General features: G+C 50.2%; 1 protein-coding gene across 3 annotated transcripts in view, besides 2 other annotated features; it reads left to right on the top strand.

Annotated features, from left to right (window-relative positions):
* TSC22D3 (TSC22 domain family member 3) overlaps positions 1–17,540 on the top strand; it is a 62,768-nt gene that overhangs the window by 31,274 nt on the left and 13,954 nt on the right. The window lies entirely within an intron of this gene.
* Positions 7,345–7,922: an enhancer, noted in NCBI's record as "NANOG-H3K27ac hESC enhancer chrX:106980023-106980600 (GRCh37/hg19 assembly coordinates)". NCBI's record gives its function as "activates a minimal SCP1, AML or CMV promoter by ChIP-STARR-seq in naive H9 embryonic stem cells {active_cell/tissue: H9 hESC(naive)}" and the evidence as "EXISTENCE:reporter gene assay evidence [ECO:0000049][PMID:30033119]".
* Positions 12,240–12,849: an enhancer, noted in NCBI's record as "H3K27ac-H3K4me1 hESC enhancer chrX:106975096-106975705 (GRCh37/hg19 assembly coordinates)". NCBI's record gives its function as "activates a minimal SCP1, AML or CMV promoter by ChIP-STARR-seq in naive H9 embryonic stem cells {active_cell/tissue: H9 hESC(naive)}" and the evidence as "EXISTENCE:reporter gene assay evidence [ECO:0000049][PMID:30033119]".

The raw sequence follows: 17,540 nt of genomic DNA, 5'->3' as shown, positions 1-17,540 counted from the left end.
AATTAGGTGGCAGTTGCAACTGTCTGGAATCTTGGTGCAGAATTTCATGTGTGGAAGGCCAAAGAAGACCTTGTTCTAAGTGTTTCATGTGTATCACAGTCATTAACAAGAACAAGAATAAAAGTGGTTAGAATAGGTTTCACAGCATGTGTGTAAGTATGGAAAGTAGTAGGCACAGTTTTCTTTGATGCTGAGCTTTTTTTTAATTTAAATTTAAATTTTTTTTATTTTTTTGAAACGGAGTCTCACTGTATCACCCAGGCTGGAGTGCAGTGGCATGGTCTCGGCTCACTGCAACCTCTGCCTCCTGGGCTCAAGCAATCCGCCCGCCTCAACCTCCCAAAATGCTGGGATTACAGGTGTGAGCCACCGCACCCAGCCTGAGCTCTTTATTTTAATGGATTTTCTCCCAGATATCCAGGTCACCCTATCTCAGAACATAGTGTGCTATTTCCACACTGGCTATAGTGAAGGGTTAGCGGCTGGCAGTATTGGAAGGTTGGCCATGTCAGAGAGGGCAGGGCAGCAGTACCAGTGGCTTCAGCTTCAGCCCTGGCCCATGGCTTGAGCATGTATTAAATCGATCGACCTGATTGATTTAATTTTGGCCTGGGCATACCTGGGTCAGCTTAGTGAACCTTACCATCTACCTACAGTCTGGCCACGGAGTAGGCTTAAATGTTAAGAAAGTTTCCCATGGCTTATCACCTTCTCAAAGCTGGTGGGCACTCCCACCCACCCACTTCTCTTGCACTTATTTCAGGCTACACACTTGGGCCTCAAGTGGAGTATTACTACATCTGGACTGGGAAGGAGCAAGGTGGGATCTGAATCCCAAAGGAGTGGTAAAGGCTACAGACCTGGGTTTGTTCCCCTGTTGATTCCCCCCTCACCCACAACCAGTGGAAAAACTAGGGCCATGCTTCCCCTCCCTTCCAGAGCTTGAGCCCTGGGTAGGAAGAGCACTCTAGAAAGAATGAGGGCAGGGAAGAGCAAAGGTCTTCAATCCAGCTCAGGCTTGACATCGAGCCCTACATGTGATGCCCACCTGGCCCAGCAGTGTCAACAGGCATGTCTATTGACAAGTAAAGGGGTCTAGAGTGCTCCCTGCACCACACAAGCATCCTGGCCATCCTCAGCTCACAAATCCAACTCTGGAGCCAGGACTACTGCTTCTGGGGCCCGAAATACCTGCTTGGGCCTCAGGTTGGTATATCTTCTTTCAACCATGGCTAGGACCTGGAAGTGTTTGGGGAAGTACCTTGACTTCTACTGCCAGTTCTTCTGCTAGCCAGCAAAAGTCTCTTCCTCACTGTGGGCCTCAGTTTCCCCATATGTAAGATGAAAGGGTCAGACTAGATGATCGCCCTTCTGGCTCTGCTGTCTGTTCTGTGAGTCTAGCGCCCTCCCTTTCTTCATGAGGTAAATACTTTTGTTGGGGGTATGGGGGGTTGTTTGGAACAAGGGACGTTTGAGGCCTTCCAGTGTGGAAGCTGGTGCAAAGTTCCCAGGCTGTGTTTGTCGTTGTGCCGCCTTTTCTTCTTCGGAACTGGCTTCTCCCGTAGCTCAGGGCCAAGGGCCGCTCTGGTTCCAGCCTTGGATGGGCGTGGTGGGGCAGCGGGTCAGACGGGGCAGTGTCCAGGGCTATCCTGGCAGCCTGGGCTGGCAGGGGGAAGTTCTGTCGCTTCTGCTCGTGTTTCCCACCCGGCCACAGGGCCCTCTCCCTGGGCGGCCTCACCACTGACTCTGGGAGGTCGCCTCCCAACCACAGGTGCTGTGGGGCTGGCAGCCTGTGGGAACGGGCGCTGCTCTCGGGGCTCCCGAGGAGCAGGGATCTCTCGCGGATGATGTGAAGAGCCCATACTGATCCCAGGGCGGGATCAGGTTCCCCTCAGGAATCTGGGAAACTCGCAGGGAGGACGTGCGTGGGCTGGTTAAACTGTCTGGGGTCTGGGGCCGTTGGGTCATTGGACTGTAAATGCAGGGAGGGGGCAGGCAGACTTGCCATATTACAGGCTCTGGTCCCTGCAAGGGACCTTGGATGCCTTCAAGTCCCCTTGCTCCTTTTATGAAGGAGGGTGAAGGGGGAGAGACGGACTTCCACAAAGCCAGAAGACCAGCGGGCAGAGAGGCTTGTTGTTCTGTGTGATCTTGTGACATGGGGACTCCCTCTATTTCCCAGGCCTTCCAGGGAAGCATTAGTGAGCTGAAAGGAGCCTCGGCGGGGAGAACAGTGGTGATGTGCCACACAGAAGGCAGCATCAACCACAACAAACAAGCAGAGCCTCTCAGACACACACAACTCAGTCTCTCTCCCTCTCTCTCTTTCTCTCTCTCTCCCTCCCTCCCCCGCTCCCTCCCCCCTTCCTAAACACCGCGCGCGCGCGCACACACACTCTCTCTCTCTCTCTCTCTCTCTCTCTCTCTCTCTCTTTCTCTCTCTCTCTCTCTCTCAAATACATGTGCCTGAAAGTATATGCTGAGACTTAACTGCACACCCGTCCCAAGCCCTTTAACATGGCTCTGTGGCACTGACTTTCTGTGAAGGCACCCGGAAGCCCAGCCCACATCACCTGCTGGTGCAACTTCACTTTGCCGAGGTGTTGGGGGAGGGACAAGGTTCCTTGGGAGGGGAGGGGCCTTTTCTAAAGCTTAAAAAAAGGAAAGAAAGAAAACAAAGCAAGGCTGAAGTCCTCCCACAGGCAGGCTCGTGCTCCGGGTGTGCTTTCGCAGGCCAGAAACTACAGAACTGGGAGTACTGCCAAGTGCTTTATCAAAGGAAACAGCCCGCCCAACAGCTGGAGATGGGCTCTTGCCAGCTGTGTGTGCCTCTCAGTCTCTCCTTCTCCTTTTCTCTCCCCTTTTCCTATCTCCATCCATCCATCTCCTGCAGCCTTGCACTTTGCACTGGGCTAGCCCTACAGACAGAATTCCTTGGACCACAGAGAGTACCCTTGATGCTGAGCAAGTGAGCAGATTGCTGCCCCAGCTGGATTGGAGGAGGCCGTTCTTGCAAAGGGATGTGTTACCCATGAGTTGGTCTCCAGGCACTGAGCAAGGGGCTGCTGCGTTGTGGGCGCTTCTGCTGCAGCTAGAGCCTTAGGAAGATACAGTCCAATAGTTTCTCCTTAGCCTCCTTTCGCCCATGGTGGGAGGCGGGTGCCTGGCTGCGCTGTGTGTGTTGGCGGCAACAGGGTGTTTTCCAGCAACCTCAGCAACTTTGCCATCCATATTCATTAATTAGTTAATGACTTGGATTCATTTCTCTAAGCCTTGGGCTTCCCAGAGTGGGAGGAGACAATGTGGGAGTGGGGGAGAGCTCTGAGGAAAGTTGTTCTCCCCTTGCTGGGGTGTGGTTGAGGGGGCTTCACTGCCACACACTAAGAAAGAAAGGGAAAGGGGGATCTACGGTGGCTTCGCCCCTTCTCCCAGTCCTCACTCATTTCAGGCTCCCAATTTGCCAGCTAAAGTGGCCAGCATAGCCCCAAAAGGCAGCTCTGAGCTGCGTTTGTAGAAGCAACCCCAGGGAGAAAGATGCCAGTGGGGCTGCCTAGTTCTGTGAGTGGCAGTGCTGAGTTCTGGGAGCTGAAGGCAACAACCTCATCCCTGAGGAGGTCTAGGGGCTTCATTCTCTTCCCTAACCATAGCCCACACCTCAGTAGACCCCTGGAGATGGCTTAGGCAAACCTAACATCTCCCCTGCCAGCCTGGCCACACCTCAAGGGCAGGATCCTTGTGATGTTCATCTCCCTACTCCCAATGCCTGTCATGTGCTTGGGGCTTAAGTAATGTCTGGTGACCCGGACTCTGGGGAAACTCACTTTAAAGCTTGGGTCTTACCAAGTGGGAGGCAGTAACTTGGTCTGTGTGTATTTCCCAAGGTTGCCATGTTGAGCTTATTCATTCTTTAGCAGAGTTTGGCTGAATGAGTACCAGTGAAATGGCAGACACCAGTTTTGGTTGCTATGGGGGTTACCAAGAGGGACAAGGCCACAAACTTAGATAATCTTAGCTTCTGGCATCTGCTGGGCACTCTGCTGCCCATCCTCCCTCTGTTGTACACCCACTCTTTCACCGTCATGGTTCTTCAACCTCAGCCAAGCTCTTGGATCTTCTCTCTCTCTTTTTTTTTTTTAGACTGAGTCTTGCTCTGTCGCCAGGCTGGAGTGCAGTGGCACGATCTTGGCTCACTGCAACCTCCGCCTCCCGGGTTCAAGCGATTCTCCTGCCTCAGCCTCCCGAGCAGATGGGACTACAGGCGTGTGCCACCAGGCCCAGCTAATTTTTGTATTGTTGGTAGAGACGGGGTTTCACCATGTTGGCCATCATGGTCTCGATCTCTTGACCTCGTGATCCGCCCGCCTCGGCCTCCCAAAGTGCTGGGATTACAGACGTGAGCCACCATGCCCAGCACGATCTCTCTTACTGTTCTTTCCTTCCCTGAGGCTTCTTCTACAAATGGGCATGCTCATATGCTTAGTCACAAGTGGCCCTGAAGCGTAATGAGCTCAGGCTTTGGAGCCAGCCAGACCTCAATTTGAATCCCTAGTCAGCCACTTTCTCTACCCGGTATGACTTTGGGTAAGTTACTTTGCCTCTCTGAGCCTCAGATTTCCCCTCTGCAAACTGGAAGTGATACATACAATATTGACCTCCTGAGTCTGGAGAAAGTTGATTGAGATAACATATATACTGTATATGAAGTGCTTTGAGCCACGTTTTGCACAAAGCAGGTGCTCAATGACTGTTAGCTGCTGGTATTCATTCCCATTGCCCAGTGTATGTGTGATGATCAATCGTGTCGATCACACACCACTGGGCTGATAGGACTGACTATGTGATCAACCATAGACAGATCAAAGACCCCAAGCGGGACACTAAGAAGACACTTCAGTAATTATGTGTGTCCAGCCCTGGCAGTTACAAACCTGGGTGGAATGAGGTGCAGAAGTCAAGAGCCTGAGGCAGAGCTGAACCCATTATCCCTGATTTTGTCCCTCCCAGATAGGGCTTCCCCTCAGGCCATGGGACAGACTAGACTGGCCCTTGGGCATGGGGCTAAATAAATGTCTTCTGGGAAGCTCCACCTACCACACAACTTCTCCAGACTCTGGCTTCCTGGCTTCCCTCATGTGGGGTCTTCTTTTTCTCACCTGTGAACCTCACCTATGCTCCAACACGCATGCCCTTGCCACAGTTTCCCCAGCGTGTGTGTGGTCAACCTTGAGTATATCTGGAAGGACCAGGCCAGGACTGGAAAGGACCATTTTTATCACAGCCCATTTATGACCATCTCCCTGAAAGGGTGCATGTGTGTGTGTGCACGCGCCTGTGTGTGCGTGTGTGCGTGTGGAGCCTGCAGCATTGAAGTGCCAGTTAACCTTGTGACATCAAGATTCCTCATTCCTAGTCCATATACCCATTGCTTCACCTTCCCTCAGCAGCAGCTTCTGAGCTCTGGGTAGTCAGGAGGATGCTGACGTGGGCATTTCCACGATTTGTGATGTAGGTCTTCACGAATGGAGGTTTGTGGGGCTTGCCCCCTCCAGTTCCCTTGGAAGGGCACTTCCGATGGTTGGCACCAGCAGCATGTCAGCTGCAGGGAGCAAATGGTGTAAGGGAAGAGAGTCCAGGTCTTCTTTGGCTACGACTGATTCCTTATTTCCTCTCCTTTCCCAGTTTGGGAGCATTTGTTGCTGTCTGAAGGGCCGGGCAGTGCCAAGACCACAATAAACAGCTTGTCCGGTACACACAAGCTCTTTGGACCCTGAAATGTCAGCTGGCCAACTGGCTCACAGCTAGCCCCTGCTGCGTGCCGTTTGCATCCGGCTCTGACAATGCCACTCAGCACTTGTAGAACCATGTGTCATGGCAACAAGGGTGGGGGTGGGGGGACCCCACAGTGACCGGGCCCTAGCTCTGGGAAGCCAAGCTCATGGGCCACACTTAGAGCCCCTGGTAAAAATTACTGCCTTAAGGACTCAGCTCTGCTGGTCCCAGACCAGCAGAGTAGCCTGTTCTCCCCCTCCCTTTACCTAGGTCTGGCCCCATGGGCAGCAGAAGGCCAGACTCCCTATGCCCCATATGGCTGAACTGCCAACTGGTGTTGAATAGAAACATCTCGCCCATGAAAACTAGTGGGGTGTGGGGCATGTGCCTCCAGGAGGTGCAGACTGGGCACAAAGGGCAAGAGAGGAGAGGGAGCGGCAGCGGGGTCTGGTGGCAAGAGTGCCAGGCCAGGATCCAGGAAACCTGGGCTGTGCTCCCAGCCTCTACCACCAACTCCCTTGGCGTCCTTGAGCAAGATCACCCAGAGGGCAGGGTTGGGGGAGCAGGCACAGGGCCAAGACCTTGCCTAGGAGAAGATGAGCTGCAAAATTTTGTTCATGCATTCAAGAGGTAGGGATGGGGTGTTTAACCAGGAAAACTCTCCGCTGAAAAGCTACCTAATTGCCTTTAAATGCTTTAGATGTGTCTTGACCAGCAAGGGAACCAAACTCAGGTGCCCAGGGGACATATCAGAAAAGACGGGGCTGCTTCTCCCAAAATGCCTGTCCCTTGACTTGCTTGGGAGGCCAACAGGCAGTGATCCCTGCTGCTAGGACCAAGACCAGAGGACACAGTTGTTTCTTAGCTATGGAAAGCCCTGGAATTGTCCTCACTTCTGCCCCTTGCAGCCAGCCAGGACAACTTATCTGGGATGTAGTGTTTGTTCCTGGTCGTAGGAGTTCATATGGAAAGGGCATCTCTCAGCTCACCACCCCAGGCACCCATGCATCAATATCCCAGTGTCCAGGGACCCACACGATGGCACACACTTATTCCCAGGACCTAAATTCACATCTCTTTGCTGAGCTTTCTCTGCCTGGTAGCAACAAATCTGCCATTGATCTGGCCCTGTTTTCTCAATGGGAACTCATGGGGTGCAATGGTCTTTGATAGCACAAAACACGTTGAGAAAAGCTACCAGTGTCTGACACAAAGTAGGGGCTCAATAAATTTTTGTCAAATGAATCCAGGTTGGAATCAACTCACAATACTTTCATATGAAGGACTTCATTTAATGGGAGAAAGTACAGGCTGTGCAGTAGGACCAGTTTGGGAGCAGGAAGAAGCCTGTTTGAAAAAAAAGAAAAAAAGCAGCATGGAGGCAGCCACCCTCTTTGTGCACGGAGGGAAGGTAGAATATACCCATGGTGTGTAGTGGGGAGGATGTCTGGGAAAAGGGCCAACATCCACTCCAGTCTGAGAGCCTCAGACACTTCCCAGTGCAGGAAGACCCCATGGTGGTGTCTAATTGGCTTTCTGGTTGTTCTCTTACTTAGCGAAACCCCTGTGTGACAAAGCTGGGACAGGGTTGAGCTTCCAGAATCTCTACTGGAGTTTTGAGTAGCTCCTGGTTATTTCCAACCAGGTGCCAGTTGCCAGGGAGGGCCTTGAATCTGAATAACATTGCCTGGGGGAATAAGGAGGGACTTGGCCAGGATCTTCACAAGTCATTTATACCTCAGCATGCCCCTTGTCCCCCATTGGTCCAGGGGCCCTGGGAGCCGTGGTCTGGCCTTTGCAACTTCCCTTGCTGGATTCCTGTGTTGTCTGTGCCTTCACAGCAGGGTGGGTGAGAGAGACCGGCCCAGGAGGAAAAAACAAACAAAGGAAAGGTCTCTGGGTCTGTTGACGTTATAAGTGCTATTGATTTTCCAAGATTTTTCCATTGAGAGGACAGTTAACTGACCTCGTTTTGCAGCCCATTTGGGCTTTGACGCCACTCTCTAGGCCATGAACTGAGAATTGGAGAGGCTATGACTTTATCTCAACACATACTTGATAGTCACCGCCCTCAGCAAGGCCAAATTGGGCTTCCCGGGGTGGGATGTGAGAGGATGTGGGTGGTTCCAGGCCTCTCAGCTCCTTCTACTTTTCCCCAGGGACATTGTGTGACCCTGGGCCCAAGCACTCTCAGATCTTGCTGGATCTGGTCATGCCTGGAAGGGGGCTTTTCAAGCAAGAACGGCCATAAAAATCGAGCACAGACCGAAAGACGATGGTTGGAAGAGCTCTGAACTAGGAGCTGGTGACTTGGCCTTGCATCCCAGGTGTGCCACTAATTAGCTGTGTGATTTCAGGCACTCTGTTTTCCCTCTCCTGGTCTCAGTTTTCTCGTCTGTTAAGTGATAGGTAGAGGTCCCTTCCAGTTCTAAAATCCAGCAGGCTTGTTAAGAAAAATGCAGACGTTAGGAATGAGGAGAAGAATATAAAGAAGAGAGAAAGGGACAAGATTGTAAAATTCCACGACAGCACAGAAGGGGAAAATGGGGAGAGAAAGAGAGGTGTGCTGCATTGTGGTGTAGTGGGAGTGGCCCCAAGTGGAGGCTTGGAGACCAAGATCCTGTTCCCAATTCTATCACTAATGAGCTGTGTGACCTTAGGCAGGTCACTTCCCTCCTCTGTACCTCATTCAAGTGAGAGGAATGAGTTAGCCCCTTACCACTCAGGCTGCTTTGTTGTTGGGAAAACTAGATACACACATAGCAAACAATTAGAGAACAGAATCAGTGCTCAGAGGTGTGTCATGGAAAAGAGGTACACTTGGAGAAGGGGATGGTGATGGTGGCTGGCGAGCCAAGGCCTAAAGGGCAAGGGAGCAGAGTAAAAGAGCAGAGGCTCTGGAATTACACAGGCCTGGTTAGAGTATTGGCTCTGTCCCTACCTGTCTGTGTGACCTTGGGCAAGTCATTGGCTCTACCCAAATTTCAGTTTCCTCACCCCAAAAAAGCAGGGAATTGAACTAGTTCATCTTCAGAGTTCCTTTCATCTCTTTGAATATGTAAAAAAACAAAACACAACAAAAAGAAGCCAGAGGATGCCAAGTAAGCTAAAGGGGAGAATTGTGCATTCAGGGAAGAAGCCAACTCGTTGGTATGGGTCAGCTACTTATGTCAGGAGTGAAGAAGAATGGCATTCTGAGAGCAATAGTCAGCTGGGGGGGCGGGTGCTGAGGGGAAGAAGGAGAAGGGGAAGGAAAAAGCAAGGCAAGGTCATCTCAGAGGGGTGATTGGAAAGGACATTAACGCATGTTCAGTGAGAGAGGGTTTGGTTGGAGGGCATGCCAGTGAGGAGCCGTCGCCTGGCATGGAGGTCTTACTTGGTCCTGGAATCAAATGCTGAGGGTGGTGGTGAATGCTACAGCAGACTCATGATCTCCAAGTAGAAGGTGGGGAGCTGAAATGCTTTCAAATTGCCAGGCCTTCTTCCACTGGGGAGAGTGAGATCAAGGGCCCATCACTAAGTCTTTGATACTCTTGCATTTTATACATCACTGATCCCTGCCCAGGACCAAGAATAGCGTCTGAACAGGTGTGGAAACCAAGGCCCTGAGAGGGGATTCAACCTGCCTTGGGTCACATGACAATTTTATGGCAGGACCAGGGGCAAAGTTGGTCTTTCTCCTGATTCAGAGCCCAGTACTCTTGTGTGGCTCCTGCCCCATCCGTTGGATGCTATTAAGCAAATCCCTCATTGGAATGTTGGCCTCTTAGGGAGAAAAAATGGAGTGAAAAAAAAAACCCCAACAATTTCAAGTAACTAAGGCTCCAAGGGCCTTGAGAGGCCAAACTGTGGCGGATGGTGCCTGGTGAGCCCTTCAGCAACAGGACCCATGTTTGTGGCAAGGACAGTGAGGGTCGGGTAAGGGGGAAGAGTGTGGGTCCTAGAGTCAACTGGATCCTCAAATCCCAGCTCTAGCTGTGTGACCTTGGGCTGGTTACAACCTCTATGAGGTTCTGCTTCCTCATCTGTCATCTGCAATTTTTTTTTTTTTTTTTTTTTTTTTTTTTACGTAGAGTTGTGAACAATAGATAAAATAATGCGTGAAAAGTGCTTGGCACAGTGCCTGGTATATAATAAACTCTCAATAAGTAGTAGCTATTATTATTGTTATTACTCTTACCATTACTGGTAAAAAAAAATGTGACAATTTATGATCTTTCTTGCCAACCTGCCACTTCCCTCTTCCCTCACTTGCTTCAGAGTCTTCACATTCACCTGCCTGAGGCTTGGTCCCCCAAGACCACATTTTTCACCTCCATTACAGGACCAGCTTCCCCAGATGGCCTCTCCAGAGAGTTCCATCTCCTCCCAACTTGCCTGCCAACATGGGACCCCAGCAGCAGACAGAGGGAGGGAGACAGACAGGTGGCAGGGGCCAAAAAATGAGACCATGCGTTGCCACCCTGTCACCAGTTCCCTGGCAAGATCTAGCAAGGTCACCTTTTGCTTATGATTTCCTTCTTTGTGAAGAGGAGGGTTGAAATGCAGCCTGGAGGGAATATTTGGATGAAAGCAAGGGCTTTGCCCCCACAATTTGGGAGACACACTCTCGCCAGTATTTTTCAGAGCAAGAGATGTTCCAGCCAAGGAGAATGTCATCACTGTGTATAGGAGCAGAGCTGTTAAGATACACACTGTACTATGGTGGGCCCGATTTTCCAGCCCCTAGGTCAAAGCCCAAAAACCCTCAGTTCTGGGAAGGGAAGCCCAGGTTTCTTCAGGTGAGAGGACTCTTGGGTGTGGCCCTGCAGAGGGAGCTGATTGTTTGTGCTGGGAAATTTAGAGGATGCCCCAGACTGCTCCTTAGCTTCTCATCCCTGGGGGAAAGGTGGTGAGACCAGAGAAACTCAGTGGCACTAGGCCAGGGAGGACTGAAATCACATTCTAATGTGCAGGTCCTAGAGATGAAATAGCCCAGCCCATTCTCCGGGTTGAGAGGTGAAGGGAAAAATGGGTGGGAAGAGCAGACGGGCAGTGCCTGCCGAACCTAGAGGTGGGGCAGGCAGTTGTCTATCTGGCAAGATTTCAGGGGCCCCAAAGCAGACTCCACCCCAAACATCTTCCCCAGCGCAAGTAACCAAACAATGGTGTGTTTTTGGAGCACATGCTGGGTGTTCCACATTGTGCTCAGTCTCTGTAGAAAATTGTCAAGTTCAGTCATTACTCCCCAGAGTCCCTTCCTCTTTAAAGCTTTGATGGAGAGGGCCCGAGGTCAGGGCTGGGAAAACGGGTTCATTCGGCACAGCAGCAAGAGAAGGAGAGAGCATGGCAAGAAGTCCTCAGCTGGTGGAGGAAGGCTTGAGGGGACAGGATGGATGGTGAGGGGGATGAGGGTTGGGTGGGAGATGTTCTTAAAGCAGGGTGGAGGTGTGCAGGAGGCCAAATGTAGCTAAGGGCCAAGCCTTGTGGGAGGGACAGAAATTGGGAGAGAAGAAAGGGACAGGCCTAAAGTACACTGGCATTTTTTTTTGTGAAGAGAGCTCTACCAAGTAACCTGAATGAGTACTTCAAGCACATTGCAGTGGAGGTGGGAATAGGGATAATAATCCCTAATATTTGTCCAGGGTCTTGCCATGTAGAAAGTGCGCATGCTCTCTCTCTATGTTATGCATGCCTGTGCACTTGTGCATGCACACATGCACACATTGTCTCTAATTTTCATAACAGTCCTGCCAAGGTGGGTAGGGCAGGGGTGATTACCCCCACTTGACAGATGAAATTCAGATGCAGAGAGATGCAGTGATTTGCTCAGGGTTACACAGATAATTTTTTTTTTTTTTTTTTTTGAGACAGGGTCTCACTCTATCAACCCAGGCTGGAGTGCAGTGGTGCAATCACAGCTCACTGCAGCCTCGACTTCCTGGGCTCGAGGAGTCCTCCCACCTCGGCCGGGAGTAGCTGAGACTACAGGTGTGCACCACCATGCCTGGCTAATTTTTAAAAATTCTTTTGTACAGACGGCGTTTCGTCATGTTGCCCAGGCTGGTCTCGAACTCCTGGCCTCAAGCGATCCTCCCCCCTTGGCTTCCCAAAGTTCTGAGATTACAGGTGTGAGCCACCCCACTCAGCCTACATGGACTATTTTAATGGCAGAGATGGGACCAGAAATTTAGCCTTCCGACTCCCAGGGCAGCAAAGTCCAGAATTGGCCTAATGAGTATCTAGAGTAGGTAACTATCTCCATAGTGTTATGTCAAGAATACTGGGAAGGAATTCTGCCCCATAAATCTCTCTCTCTCTCCCAACTCACTAATACTTAAAGTTTCACCCCTGAAGATTCACTCGTTCGGATTGGAACTGCAGCCCCTGTTATAATGTGAAAGGGTGCTGCTGAAGGAAAGAGTAGGGAAGGAAAGGGAGAACATCTTGGCACCTGAGAATAATGTCTGGGAGTGTCCCTAGAGGCCTGGGTGATGGAGGAGGCTGGAGTAGGGCGGGGGTGTGTTTGAAGGGGAGGAAGGTAGCGCTGGCAAAGCCTCCTTCCTTTTGCATAAGGAGGGGAGGAGTTCTGTCAGAGTGTGAATGTGGGCAACACTGGGAAGGGGGGCCAGTCTGCCCAGAAGCTGGCCTGGCCTTGGAGAGCTCTAATGGGTGACTGCACTGGGCCCCAGTGCTGAGTCCTTGGAGGGAGTTTGGGGGAGGGCTTCCATGTAGCCTTGGCAGAGGGAGGGGAGGGGAGGGCAGTGGAGGCAGTGGCTGAACAAGGAAGCAGATTGGCCTATGAAGCTGAAATCCTGGAGGGGAAGGGTGGGGGTTGGGGGAACTATTCAGGGAGCTGGCCTGGAGCCAAGGGCCAGTCCCAAGCGGGTGAGCAGAGGCTTGAGAGCTCTGGGCCCCATTCCAGCTCCTGACCTTGAGTCACCATGCGACTCGGCACTTTTCCCTACCTCAGCCCAGACACCCATCAGGTCTCTGTTATCTAGGTTTCCCGTTTTACAGAAAATGTAAAAGTTACTCCCATGGCTCCTCCTCCTGACCTACCCTGCCCTTCCTACAGCCCTCTCCCTCCCCCCACCCCCATCTAGCATCCTGCAAGCCTTCCGCACCTCTTGGAAGCTCTTGCTTGCTGCCTTTGTCTCAGATCTGCTTATCCCCAGCGCAGGCTGCCCCTGTACCCCATGGGGGCAGACATGATCTGGTCCTGAGGACGAGGGCCTGAAGACCTCACCCAGCTCTTGGCCAACGCCTCTTGACTGAAGAAGCATGGTTGCAAATAGCTGCATCTGAGGAGATCGAGACTGAGACTGTCAGAACTGAGCAACCACCTTAGAAGTCATTCTTGCCATCCATTCATTCATTTCACTCAACATAATCCATTTGTTGAGCACATACTATATGCCAGACACTGTTGTAGGAAACTTTGGATATAGCTCCCAGTCTAAATAGAGGTATCATTCATCAAAAAAGCACCTAAATAAATATAATTTTGCAGCCTCAACCCTCTCATTTTACAATTAGGGGAAATGGGCCCAGAATGGTTCTGGAACTTTTCCAGGTTGTTTGTTCTGGTAGTCAGGGGCAAACTCAGGCCAGAACCCAAGTTTCCTGACTACTATTCCAGTGCTCTTTCCACCGTGCTCTGGAAGAATACGGCACAAGCATAAGAGCGTAGTATTCATCCCTGTACATTCATGCAGCCAGCCTTACCTAGAGTCACAGTCAATTGTGGCCAACTTGGCAAGATTTGAACATCACTGATAAGCAATCTTTCTCTCAATGCTGCATCTCTCCAGCTTGTTCTTTCCCTACCATCCCCCACGTATGACTAAAGTTATAGCATTGACTGAAATCTTTGGATTAAAGCCCCTGTGATCTGACTGAGAAAAACCTGTTGAGCCATTACCTACAATTTACACAAACAAATTTCTTCGATTTGTCTTTTAGGGCTGGCCCGAAGGCCATTTACATTTGATTTTTGTGAAGGAGACTGGGAGTCTCTCTTAAAGCGGGCATTGCTAAGGAAGGCAGGTCCCCTACTGCACCCCTGAAGCTATGGGCCCCATGAAACTCCAGGCAGCAGGAGGGCACAGGTGGCATAAAGGAACAGGCAGGAGGAAGGTACCCGAAAAGGAAGCAGGAAGGTTCTGAAGACAGACTCCTACTTCACAGTTTACCCTGGGGGCCAGCCCTGCACAGACCGTGATTGGTGACATTTTGTTTCAAAATATGTGTTTACATTTGGTTTTTGCTTATACTGGATTATACTGGTCTTTTGTCCCCTCCCCAGCCTGGTGTCTGGTAGTTTGTACTTATTTGCAGTTACTGAGTGGCCTGTCCTGAGAATGGTCAAGCAGCTGCCCATAAACAATCTGCTAGTCCCTGAATTGAAATGGAGATGACCCATCCCATCCTGGCATTCCGGGGGGGCTTACTCTTCCAGGGAATTAATTGCCTTGGGAATCCTTTAGTCAATTGAAAGAAACAGGCCCCACCAAAGGCCTTCCCCACCATGACCCTGATAAGGACCCTTTTCAAATTCCTCTGCAGCTGTATGAAGGGAGTTCAGTGGGAAGGAACACTAGTGCAGGTTCCAGTTGCTGCCTGGAGTGCAGCTGGGCCTGGAGCCCTCCTCAAAACAAAGCACAACTCCAGCTAGAGGCAGCCCAGTGCTTTAAAATCACACACCAGGGAGTTTCATCTGATCTCTGCCATTTGCTTGCTGTGTAATCCCAGGCAAGTTATTTAACCTCTCTGAGCCTCAGTTTCCTCATCCACAAAATGGGTCTAATGATAAGGTAATACCCAACTCCTAACAGCGTTGACAAGATTCAAAAAATTAACGTTATCTAATGTCTTTAGCGCAGTGCCCACTAAGCAATCAGTACATGGGAGCTGCTGATATTATTTGGACCCAATGAGGCTTTGAGATCTCCCAGAGGTAGGTCAAGTCCTAACAGCTGTCCATCCCTGCCCTCTTGTTAAGTTAAAATTTTCATAATGTCAGGTTTGCTTAAAGCAAGGCCCACCTGCGGGGCATTCCCTGCACTGGTGATTCATGAGTGGGAGGCATTCCGCCCACTTATTTTAAGCTGTTCTACATTTTCTTCCCCCTGACATGGATGTGTTTACACAGGGGAGGACGGTCCCAGTCAAAACAAGATGAAAATACACTGCTGGCTGGGAGCCCCAGGCTAACTGGTTTCAGGTCCTCTCCCAGCTGTCAACACCTCACAACAGGGCCCCGGGGGTGGAGAGGGGGATGCCCAGCCCCACTCCCCTGCCTCCCTCTGTCGGCCCAGCTCTGCCTGGTGTCAGGGAGTTGGCTATCACCTGGTCAAACTAGAGGGAGCTCCAGGGCTGAGGTTTTTCCAGAATTTTACAAGGGCAAAAAGGAGTGGTGATGAGGGGCAAGGGCTTCCCTCGCCAGCTCTAGTGTCAGTATTGTTTCTGCTGCCAGGGCTGCCTAGTTCACAGGCAGAGAAGGCCACTGCCAGCAGAAAGTAGCAGAAAATGGTCAAAGAAAGCTCCTCCAGCGTCCTGCCCTTCTGCCTGGAATTTCTCCCACTAGACTCATTCCTTTGGGTTCGCAGCAGGCTCTTGGTAAAAAGAAATTACCCCAGGGAAGGAGAATCCATCAACCCCAGCAGCCACAGACTCTTCTGGGGGTTAATTTCTCAGCTATGCCACCGTATAAATGAGGCAGTAGAGCTGGGGGAGGATGCACCCAGGGAGGATGTTTTGATGAGCAAGCAAACGGGGTCTCCCAGGCAGGGAGCACTGAAGATTAACATCCCCAATATGCCCAAGGCAGCCTTGCTGCTCCTCACGACATCTTCATAACAGCTTGCTTTCATTTACCAAGAACAGAAGGAGAAAACAATCTCCTTTGCCCTAAACTCTACTCCTCTTAAAGCTGCCCACTCAGAGGCAGTTTGGTTTCTTGCCAGCGAGTCTTCAATATTTGGCCACATTTGCCTGTCCCCTGAAATCCCAAGGCCACCAGATAACCAGGACCCATTGTGAGGCCCCACCCTAGGCAGCACCCCACCAGTCTATACTTAGCCAGCCTGGGTTGCTTCTCCCAGAAGCCCCTCCCACTATTCTGACCAAGCTGAGGCAGGTCATCACATCCCTTCCCTGAGAAAAACTAAACAATTCCCCTTCTGAGAAAGATTTTCCATTTTAACAGGGCACCTCAAGACTTCAAACCCAAGGGTGACATTAATGGTGAGAATTTCCTTTATCTTAGTGAGTATTTTTAGTCCAGATGGTTTTTGTCCTCCCCCCACTCCCATCATTCCAGCTGTATGGCTGCCACTCACTCAGAGCGTCAGGCCTGCTAGCCCTAAATCCCTCTTTGATATTGGTGCCAGCTGAGACTTGGCCACCCTGCTCCTGGGCTTTATCACCCTCTACTGCTCACTGTGGGTGACCTATTCCCAACTGACCCAGCGCCTTTAGCTAAAGATGGAAACTGACCAAAGTCCTAGCATTAGTGGAGAACCAGGAGCACACACATGGGTGAATTATCCCTTTTGTTTAAGTGGTTGAGCCTTGCTTCCAGGTCATTAGCGGCCACTTACTCAATTAAACTATGTTTGGGTTTCCCAAGTATGTTTGATTTTCACAGGTCTTTTGTGTTTGTAACTGCACAGTTTCTCTCAGACAATGATTGTCCCCAAATTAAAGTGTTAACTAACAGAAGACTAATTCATGAATGTGCCTATAGTTCTCCACGAGGCCATTAGCAAAGTCCTAACACATACATAACCTTTTTTTTTTTTCTTACTAAGCATGTATTTACTGCATTTGTACTGTGTGCCAGGCACCGGTCCAAGCCTTAGGTGTACAGTAGTAAATAAGATAAGCCCCTGCCCTCACAAGGTTTATATTCTAGTCTAGAAAGCCAATCAGTGCTCACTTGAGACCTTGCACGGCCCATTTTCAGTCGTGGTCCTGTCTGACTGTGCCTTCAGTCGTGCTAGAAAGAATAGAGGTCTTACTGATTACTGATTGTTTGTACTATCAAAGTGGTTCTTCGGGTCAAAACGTTGTGCAAATTAGAAGTTCTACATACAGGGAAACATTGCTAGGACCTTCAGGAGAATAATTTAAATATAGACTCCATTTTAACAACAACTTCTCAAACTACCCCCTCCCCATAGCAGTATATGTGAAACCATGAGAACAAACATTGAAACTGGACAGAAGGTTAGAAAGACGAATTTGAAACAGTGTGAAAAGGGCTGTTCACTTGGGGAGCCATTTTGCCAGCGGTGTTTGGGAACCAGAATTTCTATTTATCATAGAGTTTATCACATTCACGTAGCCCTTTTTTTCGCTCTCCAAAGAGCTCAGCTATGCTACCTACAGGGTGTCCATAAAGTCCATAGGTAAATATTTATAAAGTCATCAAAGACATCTTTAATCTGTAAAAAAAAAAAATAAATAAAATGATTTGTTTATGTTTCCAGACATTAGGGTATCCATAAAACATACATACCTTGTGTGGCATTACTCCCATTTCAGGGATGCGGATCTAGCAGCATAGAGAGTTTAGAGGTCTTCCATGAAGTCGCCAGCTGGCTAGTGGCCAAGGTGGAAAAGAACTCTGGCCTTCTGACATATTTTCTTCCCACTTGAACACGTTCGTTTAAAATGGGAACTAAAGTGATGTTTCTTGGGGCATAACTCCCTTCACAAATGCATCAAGGGAGTCCCTCTCAATTTTTCATATCATTGCTGTCTGTCTGAGAGCTCAGTATCAGCTC

Source organism: Homo sapiens, chromosome X (genome assembly GCF_000001405.40).
Source record: "Homo sapiens chromosome X, GRCh38.p14 Primary Assembly".
Taxonomy (NCBI): domain Eukaryota; kingdom Metazoa; phylum Chordata; class Mammalia; order Primates; family Hominidae; genus Homo; species Homo sapiens.
The sequence above is the reverse complement of the archived record's forward strand: the minus strand, read 5'-3'. Positions and strand labels throughout refer to the sequence as shown.